Source organism: Homo sapiens, chromosome 8 (assembly GCF_000001405.40).
Source record: "Homo sapiens chromosome 8, GRCh38.p14 Primary Assembly".
Classification (NCBI taxonomy): Eukaryota; Metazoa; Chordata; class Mammalia; order Primates; family Hominidae; genus Homo; species Homo sapiens.
In genome coordinates this window covers 22,061,970-22,080,661 of record NC_000008.11, presented here as the reverse complement: position 1 = coordinate 22,080,661, position 18,692 = coordinate 22,061,970, and the positions used below count along the sequence as shown (strand labels likewise).

The 18,692-nt window shown below is 51.7% G+C and overlaps 1 protein-coding gene across 70 annotated transcripts in view, besides 1 other annotated feature; it reads right to left on the bottom strand.

Annotated features, from left to right (window-relative positions):
- The window catches only part of DMTN (dematin actin binding protein), a 33,595-nt gene that overhangs the window by 1,864 nt on the left and 13,039 nt on the right, over positions 1-18,692 (bottom strand). For 17 of the 70 annotated variants that reach the window (NM_001387727.1, NM_001387726.1, XM_047421498.1 and 14 more), the window contains 12 exons: positions 13,769-13,957; positions 13,503-13,577; positions 12,980-13,135; positions 11,602-11,646; positions 11,144-11,243; positions 10,725-10,781; positions 10,328-10,480; positions 8,212-8,336; positions 6,827-6,932; positions 418-482; positions 202-250; positions 37-44 (listed from right to left, as the gene is read on the bottom strand). In NM_001387727.1, coding sequence (NP_001374656.1) covers positions 37-44; positions 202-250; positions 418-482; positions 6,827-6,932; positions 8,212-8,336; positions 10,328-10,480; positions 10,725-10,781; positions 11,144-11,243; positions 11,602-11,646; positions 12,980-13,135; positions 13,503-13,577; positions 13,769-13,786 — 957 coding nt within the window. In that variant the 5' untranslated portion in view covers positions 13,787-13,957. Of the gene's footprint in view, positions 1-36; positions 45-201; positions 251-417; positions 483-6,826; positions 6,933-8,211; positions 8,337-10,327; positions 10,481-10,724; positions 10,782-11,143; positions 11,244-11,601; positions 11,647-12,979; positions 13,136-13,502; positions 13,578-13,768; positions 14,147-18,692 lie in introns of those variants that run through there. The other 53 variants (NM_001323382.2, XM_047421496.1, XM_047421503.1 and 50 more) reach the window with 9 other exon arrangements.
- Positions 13,563-14,022: a silencer, noted in NCBI's record as "silent region_18975". NCBI's record gives its function as "represses an Ori minimal core promoter by ATAC-STARR-seq in GM12878 lymphoblastoid cells {active_cell/tissue: GM12878}" and the evidence as "EXISTENCE:reporter gene assay evidence [ECO:0000049][PMID:35858748]".

Here is an 18,692-nt window from a genome sequence, read left to right as displayed (position 1 = left end):
TGCTGCTCTGCCTGTTCCCCTCCAGGAGGCACTCACCTGCAGGCCTGCGGGAGAGAAGGGGCATGGGTCAGATGCAGCTCTGAGGTCAGCAGGCCAACACGCCTGACCTCACCAGACCCCTGCCCACAGCCCAGACCCCGGCTGCCCAGGGACCTGTGTAAGCCCCTTCTCCAGACCCCGGCACCAGGCCCCACTTCTCACCTGGGCTTCCAGTCTCACTCCCTGATGGGCTGAACTCTGTGGACTGTAGCTAGAAAGGACACAAAGGAATCAGAGGCAGTCGGGGATATTCACCTTTGGTCCCCTTCACTTTGGGGGTCTCCCCGCTCCCTGAGGGTGCCCAAGTGGCTCAGTCCCTCAGCACCCCACATGCACGTTCCTCCCACGTAGTCTATATCTCTGGTCCTGAGACCTTACCCGGCTCAGGGTGGTCCTGCCATAGGCGGGGAGAGAGGAAGATTTAGACGTTCCCTGGTGCAAGGCTGGAAGACAGCAAAAGGTCCTGAGTTCAGTCCCTTTGGCCCTGACAGCCCTTCCTGAGACAGCAACCTCACTGGCCTTCCACAGCTGGGGCAGGGCAGGAAGGGATCACGCTGGGGGGAACCTGGTGGGCTTCTGCTAGCTCCCAGCTCCTACTGGTCACCTTCAGCAAGCAATACAGTGCTGGTGGTTCTCAGCTGTCTCTACCACCATCCCTCTTCTCTCCAGCTAGAAGTGGCCCAAATATACAACTGGGCCCAATGCCTGATGTGAAAATTGAGTCAGCCAGAGCCAAGGCTCACATCATAAAATGAACCTCTGGGATACACAAAGAAAACTAAAATCGAATCACAATAATTACATTATTATAATTTTATTAACAATGTTAGTAATCAAATCTAAAAAAAAAAAATTTTTTTTTTGGCCAGGAGTGGTGGCTCATGCCTGTAATCCCAGCACTTTGGGAGGCCAAGGTGGACAGATCACCTGAGGTTGGGAGTTCAAGACCAGCCTAACCAACATGGAGAAACCCTGTCTCTATTAAAAAATACACCGTGCCCGGCCAAAAATTTTTAATAGAGATAGGGTCTCACTATGTTGCCCAGGCTGAACCTGAACTCCTGGACTTAAGTGATCCTCCTGCCTTTGCCTCCCAAGTACTGGAGCTACAGGCATGGGCCACCTGCTCAGCTAGTATTCATATTTGTTTGTTTGTTTATTTATTTATTTTTGAGATGGGGTCTCCGTGTGTCATCCAGGCTGAAGTGCAGTGGTGTGATTATAGCTTTCTGTAGCCTCAACCTCCCAGGCTCAAGTGATTCTCCCCATCTCAGCCTCCTCAGTAGCTGGGACTAGGGGCATGCGCCATCAAACCCAGCTAATATATATATATATATATATATATTTATTTATTTATTTATTTATTTTTATTTTTTGTAGAAACCAGGCCTCACTATGGTACCCAGGCTGGTCTTGAACTCCTGGGCTCAAGCAATCCTCCCACCTTGGCTTCCCAAAGTGCTGAGATTATAGGTGTGAGCCACTATGCTTGGCCTAGTAATCAAATTTTAAAAGTCTGACATTAGGCTGGGCACAGTGGCTCACACCTGTGATCCCAGCATTCTGGGAGGCCGAGGTGGGTGGATCACGAGGTCAAGAAATCAAGACCATCCTGGCTAACATGGTGAAACCCCGTCTCGACTAAAAATACAAAACAAATTAGCCGGGCGTGGTAGCAGGCACCTGTAGTCCCAGCTACTTGGGAGGCTGAGGCAGGAGAATGGCGTGAACCTGGGAGGCGGACCTTGCAGTGAGCGGAGATCACGCCACTGCACTCCAGCCTGGGTGATAGAGCGAGACTCCATCTCAAAAAAAAAAAAAAAACAGTCTGACATTATACTACAGAAAGAGTCATGTTCTAAGCACTGTCACTGGGGATTGTACCAGCAGTCAACAACTTCACATCAGCATTACTGGACCTCAGTCTCAACTTGCACATTTAATAGGATCTCTAAATTCTGAAGTACTACAGATTATAATTCAGGAAAATTTGTTTCCAGTAATATGTTTTCCTGGAAATAACTTTGTACCTAAGATCCTTAGCTTGAGGTGATCTCAAAATGCCTTCACCTCCAATTGCTGGAAATGGCTGGCATTTATACCAACTGTTTCCACAAGCATTTTTGTATAAATAGTTAACCTCCATAGATTCAAAACTATGAGGAACTATCTTAATATATACATATATATGTATATATTCACATATATACATATATATGAATATATGTATATATGTATATATATATTTTTTGTTTTTTGATACAGAGTCTCACTCTGTTGCCTAGGCTGGAGTGCAGTGGTACAGTCTTGGCTCACCACAACCTCTGCCTCCCAGGCTCAGGTGATTCTCCTGCCTCAGCCTCCTGAGTAGCTGGGATTACAGGCACGCGCCACCATGCCCAGCTAATTTTTGTATTTTTGTTAGAGACAGGGTTTCACCATGTTGGCCATGCTGGTCTTGAGCTCCTGACTTCAGGTGATCCACCTGCCTCAGCCTCCCAAATTGCTGGGATTACGGGTGTGAGCCACTGCACCCAGCCTCTTCTTAAAATACTCTTATGAAATCTGTTGCTTGGAAGCATTCGATTATTGAGAACAAAACCTCATTTTTACCCCTAACACTTATTTTTATTTAGAAAATAGCTTTCACAATCACCATTCACTATTGAAGCATTTCACTCTTAGAATAATAAGTACACATTTATTCAACCAACTGATAGAATTTCAACCTTCAAACCCTGCACGAAGATTTTCCCCTCCAAATTACTTCTATTATAAAATGCTTACGTGTGTTCCAGAGCGACTATTCCAGTGTCACCATTTAATCAGAATGACATGCCTGTTCATGATTCTAGAATTCAGGTTGTTTAAATATGACAGTAACCTATGCAGTCATGTGATCATTAATCACCCACAAGTTCAGGGACGCCAAAGATGATCCAGAGGTAGGCATCTGGCTATTTCAACTTCACGAGGCCAAAATGGAAGTTAAAGAGCTAATCTGGGCTGAACAGAAGATTCTGGCAGAACACTGACACTGAATCCAACCTTCACGCATCCTCTCTCCACATCATTCTTTAGGCCTTAACTCTTTATTCCACATTCTCTAATAAACCTCTGTAGCTCTTCCCACCCACAGAGACAGCATCCTGAGAGCTCTGGGGAACACTCAGATGTCCTAACCACATGTTAACCTTGAATTCCCCAGTTCCAGTGGTTTTCACCTCTGCTCCACATGAGATAACCCTTTCAAAGAGCCATGCCCAGGATCTTGTCATCAGCTGCACCACGCTGCCTAGAAACTGTGAGCTTGGACCATTCACTTTGTGGCTTTGGCTCAGCTCCATCCCCACCACCCAGCCCAGCAACCTCATGGAGAACTCCAGTTTCTTCATTCCCCTCCTACCTCCCCCACCTCCCACCTTCTGTCACTACCTTCTCAGTTTCGGCTCTGTGGCTGGGCACAGCAACTACTTTTATCAGCTCCTCCATGGTGCAGCCTGGCCCCTCAGCACCTATCCTTAAAAACGCTAACCCAGGGTCAACCCAACAGCTCCCATCCTGCCCCCAGCTGTGGACATACAGCCCACACAATGTAGATGAGCATCACTACAAAGGCCAAGCCTCGCACGTTTCTCCTCCCCTCCACGGCAGTTCCAAACCCTCGCCATTCTCACCAAGTCTCACCCTCTAACGCTCAGCAGACAACCTCGGCTTCTCATCTGGCCTGCCCCTGGATCCAAGTTCCCATCCCACAGGGGAGGCCTTTGAAGGCCAGCCTCCCACACATTCTGGGGCTCGATCTCAACCAGTCCTCAAACCAGCCCTCTAATATATATATATGTATATGTGTGTGTGTGTGTATATATATGTCACCCAAAAAAGAAAAAATAGGACACCCAGGTGTCACCCAAAATAGTGTGTATATATATGTCACTATATATATATGTCACTGTATATATGTGTATATATGTCACTATATATATCGTGTATATATATATATAGTGACATATATATATACACACACACATATATACATATATATATACAATTAGAGACAGGATCCCACTCTGTCACCCAGGTTAGACTGCAGTGGCGCAATCATAGCTCCCATCTTAGCCACCCAACTAGCTGAGACTACAGGCACATGCCACCACTCCCAACTAATTTTTCTATTTTTTATAGAGACAGTGTCTCACTACGTTGCCCAGACTGATCTTGAACTCCTGACTTGAAGCAGTCCTCTCACCTCAGCCTTCCAAAGTGCTGGGATTACAGGCATGAGCCCCGACTGGACCTTTAATGGAAGCCCTAGGCACCCTTCCCTCCTCTCTCTGTACAATCTTACTTTCTCCTCACCATTTTCCTGCCACATATGAGCAAGCTGAAGACCCTCAAGCTCCCAACTCTGCCAGATGCACCTTCCACCCACAGTGCTGTACATGGGGCACTTCAAACCCCACATGTCCAAAACCAGTCTCTCATCTTTCCCTGAAAATCCGCCTCTCTTATTATCTCAGTTCCAAGTTGGTCATCACCCAGCACCCAAGACAAAAACCTCAGCTTCTCTCTCTTGCACCTCCCACGTCCAATCAGCCACTGGATTCGATCCAGCGGATTCAATTGTCTATATGTTCTCAAATCCATTCCCTCTTCTCTGGACCCACATCGTTTTTTAGCCCTTATCCAGTCTATTGGAGAGTGTGGTAGATTATTTCCAAAGATGGCCTGCACTGTTGCCTCCCATCTTTCATGCTTTCTGCAATGAGACCTTGTGGTACCTGTCATCAAGAAGTGGAGTCTTGGCTGGGCGCAGCGGCTCACGCCTGCAATCCCAGCACTTTGGGAGGCCAAGGCAGGTGGATCACCTGAGGTCAGGAATTTGAGAGCAGCCTGGCCAACATGGCGAAACCCCGTCTCTAATAAAAATACAAAAATTAGCTGGGCATGGTGGTGTGTGCCTGTAGTCCCAGGTACTCGGGAGGCTGAGGCAGGAGAATTGCTTGAACCTGGGAGGCAGTGGTTGCAGTGAGCCAAGATCACACCATTGCACTCCAGCCTGGGTGACAGTGAGACTCTGTCTAAAAAAAAAAAAAAAAAAAAAAATTTAGCTGGGCATGGTGGCATGCACCTGTAATCCCAGCTACTCAGGAGGCCGAGGCAGGAGGATCATTCAAGCCCAGAAGATAGAGGTTGCAGTCAGCCAAAATGGTGCCACTGCACTCCAGCCTGGGCAACAGAGCAAGACCCTGCCAGAAGAAGAAGAAGAAAGAAGAAAGAAAAAAGAAGAAAGAAGAAGAAGAAGGGGGAGGGGGAGGAGGAGGGTCTAGCTCCCCTCCCCTTGAGTCTAGGTGGCCAGTGACTGGCTCTGGCAGCTACAATGAAGAAGTGACACTATGTGGTTTCCTCTTAGGCTTTTTTCTTTTTTTTTTTTTTGAGACAGAGTCTCACGCTGTTCCCTAGGCTGGAGTGCAGTGGCTCCATCTCGACTCACTGCAACCTCCACCTCCTGGGTTCAAGCAATTCTCCTGCCTCGGCCTCCTGAGTAGCTGGGATTACAGACATGCGCCACCATGCCTGGCTAATTTTTGTATTTTTAGGAGAGACGGGGTTTTACCATATTGGTCAGGCTGGTCTTGAACTCCTGACCTTGTGATCCGCCCGCCTCGGCCTCCCAAAGTGCTAGGACAACAGGTGTGAGCCACCATGCCGGGACCCCTCTTAGGCTTTAAGAGGCTTTGCAGCTTTCATTGCTGGGTTTTCAGGTCTTCCTCTCCTCTCCAGCCGCCAAGCTCTGAGGAAGCCCAGGGTAGTGCGCTGGATAGTGGGCCACGCCATTCAAAGCCTGCCCCGCTCCCCATCTCTTGGTCTCACTGCCCACTGCCCCACAGTGTACCCTGTACTCTGTAATTCCAGACTCCTGGAGGCTCAGCCAGCCAGATGTTTCATGTTCCCAATTTCGCTCCCACACCATTCCCAATGTCTGCAATGCGCTCTCCCACTCACTTTTTCTGGCTTGCTTGGTCTCAGCCTTCAAGACTCAGTTTAAGCTGGACGCGGTGATTCACACCTATAATCCCAACAGTTTGGGAGGCCAAGGCGGGATGATTGCTTGAGTCCAGGAGTTCGAGCCCAGTCTGGGCAACATTGTGAGACCTTGTCACTACAGAAAATTTTAAAAATTGGCCAGGCATGGTGACGCACACCTTTAATCCCAGCTACTCAGAAGGCTGAGGTAGGAGGATTGCTTGAGCCTGAGAGGTGGAGTTTGCAGTGAGCTGAGAGTGCACCACTGTATTCCAGCCTGGGCAACAGAGCAAGGCCCTGTCTCAATAAAACAAACAAACAAACAACAAACAACCACAACAAAACCCCTCAGTTTGGCCTCCCAGGCCCTGTTGCTGTGCTCCCAAAGCACCCCGCGCACCTTGATCACAATACCGGCCACACTGCATCGAAATCCCACGTTCCATGACAGTTTCCCCGCCAACAGCAAGCTACCAGAGGACAAGACTAGATTTTTTCCCTGCTTATATGCCCAGTGCCTAGCACATGGTAAACGCTCAATAAATGGTTGTTAAATTAAACCAAACTTGCTGAATTCTATTTTAGCCGATTCTCTCATTTATCATCTGACATTGTTCCATGACTGGGATTCTTGCTCCCAAGAGAGCAGCCGTGCTTTGGGTCAGGGATTGCATCCTGTATGTGTCACAAGTCAACAGATGCACAGAGTCAGGCCTCCATCTCTGGCCAGGTGACTCTGAGCCCCCTCCACAGCACTCACAGGTATGGAAGGGTGTCCGGTCAGGCAGAGAGCGGGTTTTCCTTCGGATCGGCAATGACTTTTCCATCTCTTCTTTCAAGATCATCTTTCCCAAGTTGGAAGTAACCTGAGGAGGGAGAAAGGAAGATGGAGCCAAGACTTAGACACTTGAATGTTTCTTTTTTCTCTTTTTTTTTTTCTTTCTTTTTTTTTTTTTTTTTTTTTTGAGACAGGGTCTCACTCTGTCACCCAGGCTGGAGTTCAGTGGCACAAACATGGCTCACTGCAACCTTGACCTCCTGGGCTCAAGCAATCCAACCTCCTCAGCCTCCTGAGGAGCTGGGACCACAGGCATGCACCACCACACCCAGCTAGCTAATTGTTTTTTTTTTATATACAGATGGGGTTTCACCATGTTGCCTAGCCTTGTCTCAAAATCCTGGGCTCAAGTGATCCTCCTGCCTCGGCCTCCCTAAGTGTTGGGATTACAGGTGTGAGCCACTGTGCTGGGCCAATACTCATTTCTTATCTCTAAAAGGTCTAGAGTTGGGCCATGCTGCAGGCAGGACTGCGGACATTTCCCAAGTGGCTGGTTTGTGCCCTGGAGCTCACAGAGCCTCTTGTTCGTGGCTGACACATGGCCACAATGGGTTTGGCCACCCTTGAAAGCCAGGAGTCAGCGCTGCTTGGTAGAACTCTACCACGGCGGCCTCCCTGTCCTTGTCCCAGGTCACCCTGCTCAGAGCCTAGGCCCATGTCACTGTCAATGGTCTTTCCATGGTTCTCCCTCCTCCCCTGGAGGCCTGTAGCCCATGCTCTCCTTTTCTCTCCTCCCATGGATCACTCAGGCTGCTAGCTCCCAGCTCTGATGGGACCACCCTTTTCTGTGCTTTTGACCCTTATATCAAGTAGTGTCCCCCAGAAAGCAGCATAAAGTCCAGGTGTCCCTTCAAAAGCAAAATCCTGGGGTCTTGGCAAGAAGCGGCTCCCCAACATGTTCCAAAAAGCATGCTTTTCGGGTAGGAACCCCTTCGACTAGCTACAGAGCCAGAACTTCTGTCCCCAGAAAGACACACAGGGTGGGCTGGGCATAGTGGCTCACGCCTGTAATTCAAGCACTTTGGGAGGCCGAGGTGGGCGGATCGCTTGAGGTCAGGAGTTCGAGACCAGCCTGGCCAACACGGCAAAACCTTATCTCTATTAAAAATACAAAAAAAAAAAAAAATTAGCTGGGCGAGGTGGTGGCGTGCCTGTAATCCCAGCTATGCAAGAGGTTGAGGCAGGAGAATCACTTGAACCTGGGAGCGGAGGTTGCAGTGATCTGAGATCATGCCACTGCATGCCAGCCTGGGCAACAGAGCGAGACTCCTGCACAGGGGTGGAGGGTGGGGGTGGTGAGATGCTACCTTACTGAGTTCCTCTCTCTGACGCTCCCTGAGAGCCTTCATCTCCTCTCCAGAGTCGTCATCTTCCTCCTCCTCCTCTTCCTCTGCTCCCCTCCGAGACGCCTTCCGCTTCCTCCATTCTGTCTCTAGGAGACACAAGCAAAGGTGGGGAGGGAGTCACTCGCCATGGGGTCAGTGTGTGTTTACATGGCACAGCCTCTGTGCACTGCTCTGGGCTGGACCTTGATAAGGCCACTACAAAATTTTTTTAAAAAATAAAGTAGGGTCGGTAGATGACTCATGCCTGTAATCTCAACACATTGGGAGGCTGAGGTGGGAGGATCGCTTGAGCCCAGGAATTTGAGAACAGCCTGGGGTAATATAGTCTCTATAGAAAATTATTTTAAAAAATTAGCCCGGGGTGGTAGGGCATGCCTGTAGTCCCAGCTGCTGGGGACACTGAACTAGGTGGATTGCTTGAGCCCAGTAATTCGAGGCTACAGTGAACTGTGATGGAGTCACTGCACTCCATCCTGGGCAACAGAGTGAGATCCTGTCTTAATAAACAAATAAATATTTAAAAATAAAAATAGGCCGGGCGCGGGGACTCACGCCTGTAATCCCAGCACTTTGGGAGGCCAAGGCAGGCGGATCACGAGGTCAGGAGATCGAGACAATCCTGGCGAACATGGTGAAACCCCATCTCTATTAAAAATACAAAAAAATTAGCTGGGCGTGGTGGCGGGCGCCTGTAGTCCCAGCTACTCAGGAGGCTGAGGCAGGAGAATAGCGTGAGCCCGGGAGGCGGAGCTTGCAGTGAACCAAGATTAGGCCTCTGCACTCCAGCCTGGGTGACAGAGCGAGACTCTGTCTCCAAATAAATAAATAAATATAAATATAAATATAAAAATTAGCCAGGTGTGGTGGTGGGCACCTGTAATCCTAGCTACTTGCGAGGCTGAAACAGGAAAATCGCTTGAACTCAGGTGGTAGAAGTTGCAGTGAGCCGAGATCTCGCCACTGCACTCCAGCCTGGGCAATAGAGCAAGACTTCCTGTCTCAACATTTAAAAAGAGAGTCAGGCATGGTGGCTCACGCCTGTAATCCCAGCAGTTTGGGAGACAGGCGGGTGGATCACTGGAGGTCAGGAGTTTGAGATCAGCCTGGCCAACATAATGAAAACCCATATCTACTAAAAATACAAAAAATTAGCCAGGTGTGGTGGTGCATGCCTGTAATCCCAGCTACTCAGGAGGCTGAGGCAGGAGAAATGCTTGAACTCGGGATGTGGCGGTTGTGGTGAGCTAAGATTGTGCCACTGCACTACAGCCTGGGGCAACAGAGTGAGACTCCATCTCAAATAAATAAATAAATAAATAAATAAATAAAATAAAAATACAATAAAATAAGAGTAACATTTTCTCACCTTGCCATGAAGCTGGGTAGGCAACACACACATACACACACTCATGACTGAAATTCAGTGGGTGCAGCAACATGAATGGAACTGGAGGCCATTGTCTTAAGTCAAACAAGACACAGAAAGACAAAGACTGCATGTTCTCACTCATGAGTGGGAGCTTAATAGTGTGTACGCATGGATGTAGAGAGTGGGATGATGGACCATGGCAACTCAGAAGGGTGTGGGGGGTGGTGATGGGAAATTGCTTAATGGATACAACGTGCAGTATTCAGATAACAATATCATAAAAACCCTGACTTCACCACTGTGCAATCTATGCAGGTAACCAATTACACCTGTACCCCATAAATGGATAAAAATAAAAATTAAAATAAAATTCGCTGGGGACCAAACCATCTATCATTTATCTTTCTCTTTCCCAGTGCTCCCCTCACAGAGCCTGGGATGCAGAAGTTTGATACATGTCTGTTGAGTCAGGAAATAAATGAATGGAAAGCAAATGAATGACCAATAAAAGGGCCACTTACACCAAGCGCTATGGGAACACAGAGAGTGAGTGAGCAAGGAGCCTGGGGGCTCCTGAAGGTAGGAAAAAGCCCACGAGGACACCATAGGGCAGGGGTGGGAGTGGGTTCACGGACTGCAGCAAGAGCCAAGGGGAGGGAGTGCAGGAGTTTCCCAGACCACCCATTCCACTCTCCCCATCTCTCCTACCCACAACAGCCAGAGACGGGGGGCATGGCCAGTAGTCGGTTTCGATTTTGGCTGGCTGGTTGGGGTCTGGGGGCTGGGCTGCAGGAAACTTGGATGACTCGATGATGAGATCCTCGATGAGGTGCTTGGTCTGAGGGCTGCCTCCCACGGACTCTGCAGACAAAGGCCAGGGTCAGCCAGGTGTGCCCTGCCCGAGGCCAACTTGGCTACCTTCACCCCTCCCCCCTCACACCTGTGAGGTCCTGCAGGTAAAAGCAGTGTACACGCTGAGCACGGGGCACACGTGCTGCTGTGACATGCTATCCTCCCGACCCCCTCCAGCCAGCCCGCAGCCCCAGGGCACGGCCTCCCAGCATGCAGCCGGAAGCAGGCTCTGGTGAGCCAGGGGCGCCCTCACCTCTCTGCTTATAGATGGGAGGCTTCTTGTAGATGTTGGAATCTGGGCGGGAGGTCTCTGTGGGAGGAAGAACAGATGAGGAGGAGGACATGCTGATGGCAGGGAGGCTGGGGCCAGGAGAATGGAGATGATGGAACGGGACAAGGTGGGGAACTCACTGGCCCCTGTCAAGAGCCAAGACAGGGCTGGCATTCCTGGCACTGCCCCTCAGGGGTTTGGGACATTTTACACTTTTCCGGCTGGGGGAGAGAGAAAAAGTGACAGGTCTCCCATCTCTGGGAGGGGTCCTGGCCTCCTGGGGCCTACTTAGCCCTGAGGCGAGCATATACCCCAGAGAGTGGGGGACTGAGCGTAAGGGGATTGGGGTTCCTGATGGAGAAAGTCTTAGGAAACAATGAGGTCGTGCCGAGAAGACCTACCAGGGTGGTGGAAATGGGGCAGGCTGGTCCGGGGGGTTCCAGTGGTTCTGGGGGCCGAGGCCTGAGAGATGATTCCAGGCGACCGGCTGTCCGCCCACACCTGCAGAGCAGAAGCGTGTGGCTCCAGGGCCCCTAACCCCCTCCAACCCACACATGCACCCCATCAGCTCACACCACCCTCTCTGTCCTCCCATCCTGGCCGGCTGCATCCCTCCAAACCCAGGGCAATGTTGTGGCACAGTTCCAAGGACCTACTGATGGTGCCTGGCCCAGGGAGAAAGGGTTGAGGTCCTGGGTCCGACAGAATGATGGACACAGAGCTGGCCAGTGACAGCCAGGGGGCCGCTGATTCGGGCACTCCCTGGGCTCTGCAGAGCTTGGTCTGATGTGTGAGGGGAGGGAGTTAGGATCCCCTTCAGGGCAGGGCAGGGCAAGTTGCAGGTGTGGGGCAGACTCACCTCTGGGGATGGTGGGGGGGATGTGGATTTGGGTGACAGCGAGCGCTGTGAATGGAGAGGGGGCTGGTCAGAGCTACAGGGGCAGATTCAGCCTCTTCCCTAGAATTCCAGAGAGGCCACCTCATCCCCCACCCAAAGCCGCACACTTTCCTGGCCAGCTTCTGGGCCACCTCTGCTTTCTTGGATCCTTCCCACAGTTCCCTGCACAAAGTCCTCAGCCTTCCCACAGGAGGCACAGAGAAGCACGCGAGCCTTGCTCAGTACTCCTGGGGCTCCAAGGGCACTCTTTTCTTCCTTCCTTCCTTCCTTCCTCTCTCCTCCCCTTTTCTCCTCTCTCCCGCTCTCATCTTTCTTTTAATTTTTTCCTACTTCCTTTGTCCTTTTTCTTTCTTTCCCTGCCTTCCTCCCTTCCTTCCCTCTTTCCTTCCTCTCTCTCTCCACTTTCTTCTCTCTTGTCTCTTATTCTTTCTCCTCTATCCCTCTCTCATCTTTCTTTCTTATAGTCTCACTCTGTTGCCCAGCCTAAATGCAGTAGCTCTATCACAGCTCACTGCAGCCTCCCCTTCCCAGCCTCAAGGGATTCTCCCACCTCAGCCTCCTGAGCAGCTGAAACTACAGGTGCACAGCACCACATCTTGCTAATTTTTGTAGAGATGGGGGTCTCCCTGTGTTGCCTGGACTGGTCTCAAACTCCTGGCCTCAAGTGACCCTCCCACCTTGGCCTCCAAAAGTGCTGGGATTATAGGTGTGAGCCACCGTGCCTAGCCTGGGAACCAGTTGGGGAATAGTTTGTCCTGTCCTCAGAGCCTCAAAACAAATAGAAGAGACAAGACCAAGAAGCATCCAAGGATGAGGTCGGGGTTTATCACGCAGGTACTGAAGTCACCCCATGATCTAGCCCCCTGTCACTGGTCAGCCACGACGCTACCCTGTCTTGGAGGCAGTTGATGAGTACCTGCCTTGCACTGTCTCCTGCACCTTCACTACCTTGCGCGTGGATGGGCAGAAAGGTCACCTCTATTTTACACGAGGGTAAGCTGAGGCCACAACATCACATGGGTCCCTCCGCTAGACTTTCAGCCCCCGCTCTCAATGCTTCTGAACTGTTTCCACAAATCTTGCTCTTTGTGCCTCTTGTGTGTTGCTGCCATCCAAAGGTGTCCACCCCTCTACATCTGAGCCACATGCCAGCCCAGAGACCGTTCTGCCTGCTCTCTTGAACACCGGATGGACTGACTGGTTGGTTCCTGCGCACAGTTCCCTCTCTTGTTTTGCCGAGGCAGACCTCCAGGAAAGGAAGCACGGGAGGGATCGGTCCCCACCCAGTGTGGCTGGGGGGGGCCTCCCCCGGAGTCCTGCCCAAGAGGAGCCCCCTCACCTCGCGGCTGCGAGGCAGCTCCACGTGTTCCAGGAGGGAATAAGTGAAGTGAGGCTCGTAGATCATGAGGTCGGGCCGCTCGATGTCCAGGATGGCCTTGTCCTTGGGGATGGCAGCCAGGTCCTTGTAGCCCAGCACCTGATTGTCCATCTTGGCCTGAAGGGAAAGGTGCGCGTGAAACTGCTGTGCCGAAAGCCCCGCCTAGGACACTGGCCCTGCTAGCTAGACTTACGTCAATTACCAAGAAAATGGACCGCCATTGCAGACGTTAACAATTCTATTATTTTAAGAAATTAGTCACCTTAAAACATGATAGTCCTTTGCCTAGCACTTCGGATTAACGAGGCCAGACCAGTGGAAGGGGGATATGGGAGCTTCTCTGGGTTTCTGGGTTCTCTCTGCCCGCCAGCACCGGAGGGACCACCACTGGGGAGGCTCTGCGGGAAGGCACGCTAGCAGCCAGGGGTCCCCCACCCTCCCCCCTCCCAGCCAGGGGTTGCTGGTGGCCGAGAGGGGTACTCACCACGATGCTGGAGGGAGAGCCAGGCACACTGGAATCTCGGGAGGGGCTCACGCTCCCGGGGGAGGTAAGTGGTTGCTGGGGAGAGCGAGAAGGCGGGCGGGTGGGCACGTGCGTGTGTGCGGGAGCGGGGCGGGGGCGGCCCTAGGCCTGGGGGACCCGGGGCGCTGCGCGGCGCTGCGCGGCGGGTGGCCACCAGGTGGCGCCCTGGACTCCCAAGCGGCCCCCACCCGCCCTCGGCGGCCCCGGCCCGGGGCGGCGCCGCGCACCTTCTGCAGCCGTTCCATGCAGCACGGAGCTCGCCCGCCGGGTCACTCGCAGAGCCCTGTGCGCGAGGGGAGAGGACAGCGTGTCAGGCTCGGCGCGGCTGCTGGGCGCTGCGCGCTTGGGGCCGCGAAAGCAGCTGGCGCGTTCCCCCGGGCTGGCGCGTCCTCATCCCTCGGCGGTGACTCTCCAGGCTGCGGGGAGAAGGGAGGGAGGCCGCGCCGGGGCGGCGTTAGGCTGCGGGGCCTCCGCGGGCGGCCGCTCTCCAGGCAGCCGGGCCCCTTGCGGCTGAGGCTTCCCATCCGCTCAGCCCCGGAGAACGCGCGCGTGGACGGGAGGCGACCGAAGGACGGGCTGCGCTTGTTTTTGAGCCATTGTTCTCTGGCTTCAAAGGAAATGACGGCAGGGGTCAGCCGGCTGCCCGGGCGGAGGCCTCCACGGCCTGGCCCCGCCGCACCTGCCCTCCCCGCCCCGGCCCGGCCTGCGGCCCTGGCTGAGGCCCTCCCCTCCCGGCCGCTGGTCCCACTCCCGCTCGGGGCACTGTCCCCGCCGCCACCTCCCCGCGCTCGCCCAGGAAGGGTTAACACAGAGGGTTCCCTGAGCAGCCCGGCTTCTGCATCCCTCATCCAAAACCTGACATCCGCACTCCGAAACTTTGTGAGTGCCTACCATGACGCACAGGTGGAAATTCCACACGTCAGAACTTCACACAAACTTTGTTTCATGGAAAAAATTATTTTTAAAACACTGCATAGGTCGGGCATAAGTGGCTCACGCCAGCAATCCCAGCACTTTGCGAGGCTGAGGCAGGAGGATTGCTTGAACCCAGGCGTTCGAGACTAGGATGGACAACATAGCGAAACCTTGTCTTTACAGAAAAAATTTTAAAAATTAGCCAGGCGTGGTGCTGGATGCCTGTAGTCCCAGCTACTCGGGAGGCTGAGGTGAGAGGATCACTTGAGCCCAGGAGATCGAGGCTGCAGTGAGCCGAGATCGCACCACTGCACTCCAGCCTGGGTGACAGAGTAAGACCCTGCCTCGTTAAAAAAAAAAAAAAAAAAAAAAAAAAAAGGTCTTGCTCTGTCGCCCAGGCCGGAGCGCAGGGGTGCCATCTCGGTTCACTGCAACCTCCGCCTCCCAGGTTCAAGCGATTCTCCTGTCTCAGCCTCCCGAGTAGCTGGAATTACAGGCGTGTGCCTGGCTAATTTTTGTATTTTCAGTAGCGATGGGGTTTCACCATATCGGCCAGGCTGGTCCTGAACTCCTGACCTCAAGTGATCCGCCTGCCTCGGCCTCCCAAAGTGCTGGGATTACAGACGTGAGCCACCGCGCCCAGCCCTACCTTCCTGCTTTTGACACCTTCCACTGCTCTGTCCACCTCTCTGCCTCTCAGGTGCCTCCAGCCTTCCAGGGCTATCCCAAAGCCGCTCCTCTGGGAGGCCTCCTGTACTAGTCTAGTCCTCATGGATCAACCCTTCTCTGAATTCCAGTGGTACTTAAAAACAGACCAATGTAGCTAAGCACTTGATTACAGGGAACATGTTTTCTCCCTAACTAGACAGACTGCTAATCGCAGGAGGGTGAAAACAACAATAAGAGCTATGTGGGAGGCCAAGGAGAGAGGATGGCTTGAGGTCAGGAGTTCGAGGCCAGCCCGGGCAACATAGGGAGACCTCGTCTCTAGCAAAAATGTAAAAATTAGCCAGATGTAGTGATATGCAGCTGTAGTCATCTCAGCTACTCTGGAGACTGAGGTGGGAGCATTACTTGAGCCCATGATATCGAGGCTGCAGTGAGCTGTGATCACACCACTGTATTCCAGCGTGGGTGGCAAAGAGCTATCATTTTTTGAATGCTCATTATGTGCTAGGTACTTTGAGAAGCCCTTTAAAAGGATTATTTTGTTTCATTGCCCCAACAACCCTATAAGGTAGACCCATTTACAGATAAGGAAACGGGCTCAGAGAGGTTAAAAATTTGTCCAGAGTCGTGGAGCTGAAAATGACTGTGTCTTCAGCACGATTCACAGTGCCTACCTAGTACTCAGTATCAGGTGAGAGTGAGGAAAGCTAGAACCTGCCAGATTCTCAAGTCTGTTTGGAATTCTAGAACCATGGCATCTCCAAAAGAAGACTCTGGCAGGCCGGGCGCGGTGGCTCACACCTGTAATCCCAGCACTTTGGGAGGCCAAGGCGGGCAGATCACAAGGTCAGGAGACTGAGACCATCCTGGCTAACACAGTGAAACCCTGTCTCTACTAAAAATACAAAAAATTAGCTAGGCGTGGTGGCGGGCGCCTGTAGTCCCAGCTACTCAGGAGGCTGAGGTAGGAGAATGGCATGAACCCAGGAGGCGGAGCTTGCAGTGAGCCGAGATTGTCCCACTGCACTCCAGCCTGGGCGACAGAGCGAGACTCCGTCTCAAAAAAAAAAAACCTCTGGCCATCAGAGTCACACAAGGTGTTGGTGCCCATGGAAAGACTCCATTCTGGAACTTTATACTCCTCTCGCCTTCTCAGTACTTGCTTTGTAATGCTTTTAATTAAGCGAAAAGAAGAATAAATTCTGGTACATACTTGAAGAGCTATTAGCTCCCTCTCCTCTCTTATCTTTACTTTGTTTATAGCTAATACCAAACTAGCTATACACTTGGCTTAGGCCTAGGGGCAAATGCTTATCCATGCATGCATGTATCTGTTCATCCATCTATCCATCCCTGCATTCATCTATCCATCCATCCATCCATCCTTCTATCCATCCATCCATTCCTGCATCTATCCATCCATCCATCTCTCCATCCATCCATCCGTCCCTGCATCCCTGCATCCATCCATCTCTCCATCCATCCATCCATCCCTGAATCCATACATCCATCTACTTAGTCATGTATTGTTTTATTCATCCATTCAACAAATACTTTCTGAGCACCTATTCTGCAATGAACACAGAGCAGGACTCTGTGGTAAGTCTTATGGAGAACAGAAAGATGAGTCAGAGGAGCTAAGCTGCTCCTCCAGAAATAAGGCATGCATCTAGATAACTCCCATGCAAAGCAGAAAATTACCTGTACCATATAAGAAAGTATAAAGCACTATGAAAAGTCACAGGAGAGATTCCTCCTGCTGGGGTGTCAAGAGAGGGGAAAGGGTTTATTGGAGGAAGAGGTATCTGAGGTCGGCCTTGAAAGATGCCCAGTTTGAGATCATGCAAAAATGGAAAAAGGGGCTCCTGATAGAGAAAGCAGCATAAGGTGGGGACATGGGGATGCACTGGGCCTGCCTGGGGAACAGCAAATATGGCTGGATTGGAGAGGTCATGAGGTTGAGATGCATTTGGGACAGGAGGTTGAGGCCAAATCATGGAGGCCAGATCATGGAGGCCCTGAACCCAGCCTAGGGTTAGGTCGTAATCTGTTGGCAACAGTGGGGCACAGAAGGCTCAAAAACTTTTTATAAGCAAAGAAGTTACATGATTCAAGCAGTGTTTTGGGAAAATGAATCTGGTGGCAGCCTGAGAGCCAGACTGGACAGGCAGAGGCGATCCAGGTCTGCCGGGAGACCAGCCCGGAAGCTGCAGCAGTAGTTCAGCAGGGCACTGTAAAGATCTAGACTTGGGCAGGAAGGAGAGAGGGCAAATGGGAGAAACCCTAGAGGCAGAATGTGCAAAGCAGGACTGGATCTGGGGTGCCCATGAAGGAGGCTGCAAGTCTGAGAGACTGGGAGAAGGGGAAAGGAGGAAGTCACTTTGACAGGTGGAGGTTGTAGTGGGTGCATCAGGGGAACAGGTAGGAATGTCCAGGAGGAAAGGAACCTACGGAAGAGGCCAGGCTGGAACCAGAGATGTGGGTGCCATTTGCCTAGAGGTGGTAGTTCAAACATGAGATTGCCAAGGGAGAAAGAAGGTTAAAAACAGCATCCTGGGAACCTGGGGAACTGAAAAGAAATAGCCAGAGATGGCACAGTCAGAGAGAGGAAAACTAGATGGCAGCTCGCAGGGGCCAGGAAGTCTCTAGTGAGTCTTTGTGTTTTCAGCAAAGGGTCTGATACACAGTAAATGTGCAAAACATATTGAGAGAAAGAATGGGAGGGAGGGAGGGATAGAGGGAGGGGCTGAGAGAGTAGAACATCATGGAAGCCAAGTGTCACCATGGAGAAGGTGAGGAGAAGTGCTTTTCCTCCAGCTCGAATGTCAGGCCATAGTGGCCTCGTGGTTAGGGATTGGGGGGGTGATGGGGGTGCTGGCCAGGTGGTACAGCCAGGGGGAATGGCCCTTCCAAGAAGTGTGATAGAAAGGCAGGGTCGTTTTGGAGGAGATAAGATTGGCCTAAGGCCTTTAATGTGTTTGCAGACAGCAGAGAGAGAACGGTAGACAGGAAAGACTGAGGCTGCAGGGGGCAGTGGGCACTAGGTGGGTGGAGCAAGACGGCAGCAGGAGGGAAGGGATCAAGTTCACAGCCAAGTACAAGACTGGCTTTGGGAAGAAAGGCTCCCCGGAAACAAAGATGAGCTGGGCAGTGGCTTATGCCTATAACCCCAACACTTTGGGACGCAGAGGTGGGAGAATCACTTGAGCCCAGGAATTCGACACCAGCCTGGGCAACATAGAGAGACCCTATCTCTACAAAGGAATTTTTTTTTTTTTAATTAGCTGGGTGTCGTGAAGTACGCCTATAGTCCCAGCTACTTGGAGGCTGAGGCAGGAGGATGGGTTGATCCTAGGAGGTCAAGGCTGCAGTGAGCTATGATCATGTCACTGCTGCACTCCCTGGAAAGGAGAGGACAGGGAAAGAAGTTGGGTAACAACCATACAGGGCTTCCATTTTCCCAGCAAAAGTGAGAGATGGTGGCCAGGTACAGAGGCTTATGCCTGTAATCCCAACACTTCGGGGGCCAAGGCAGGAGGATCACTTGAGGCCAGGAGTTTGAGGTCT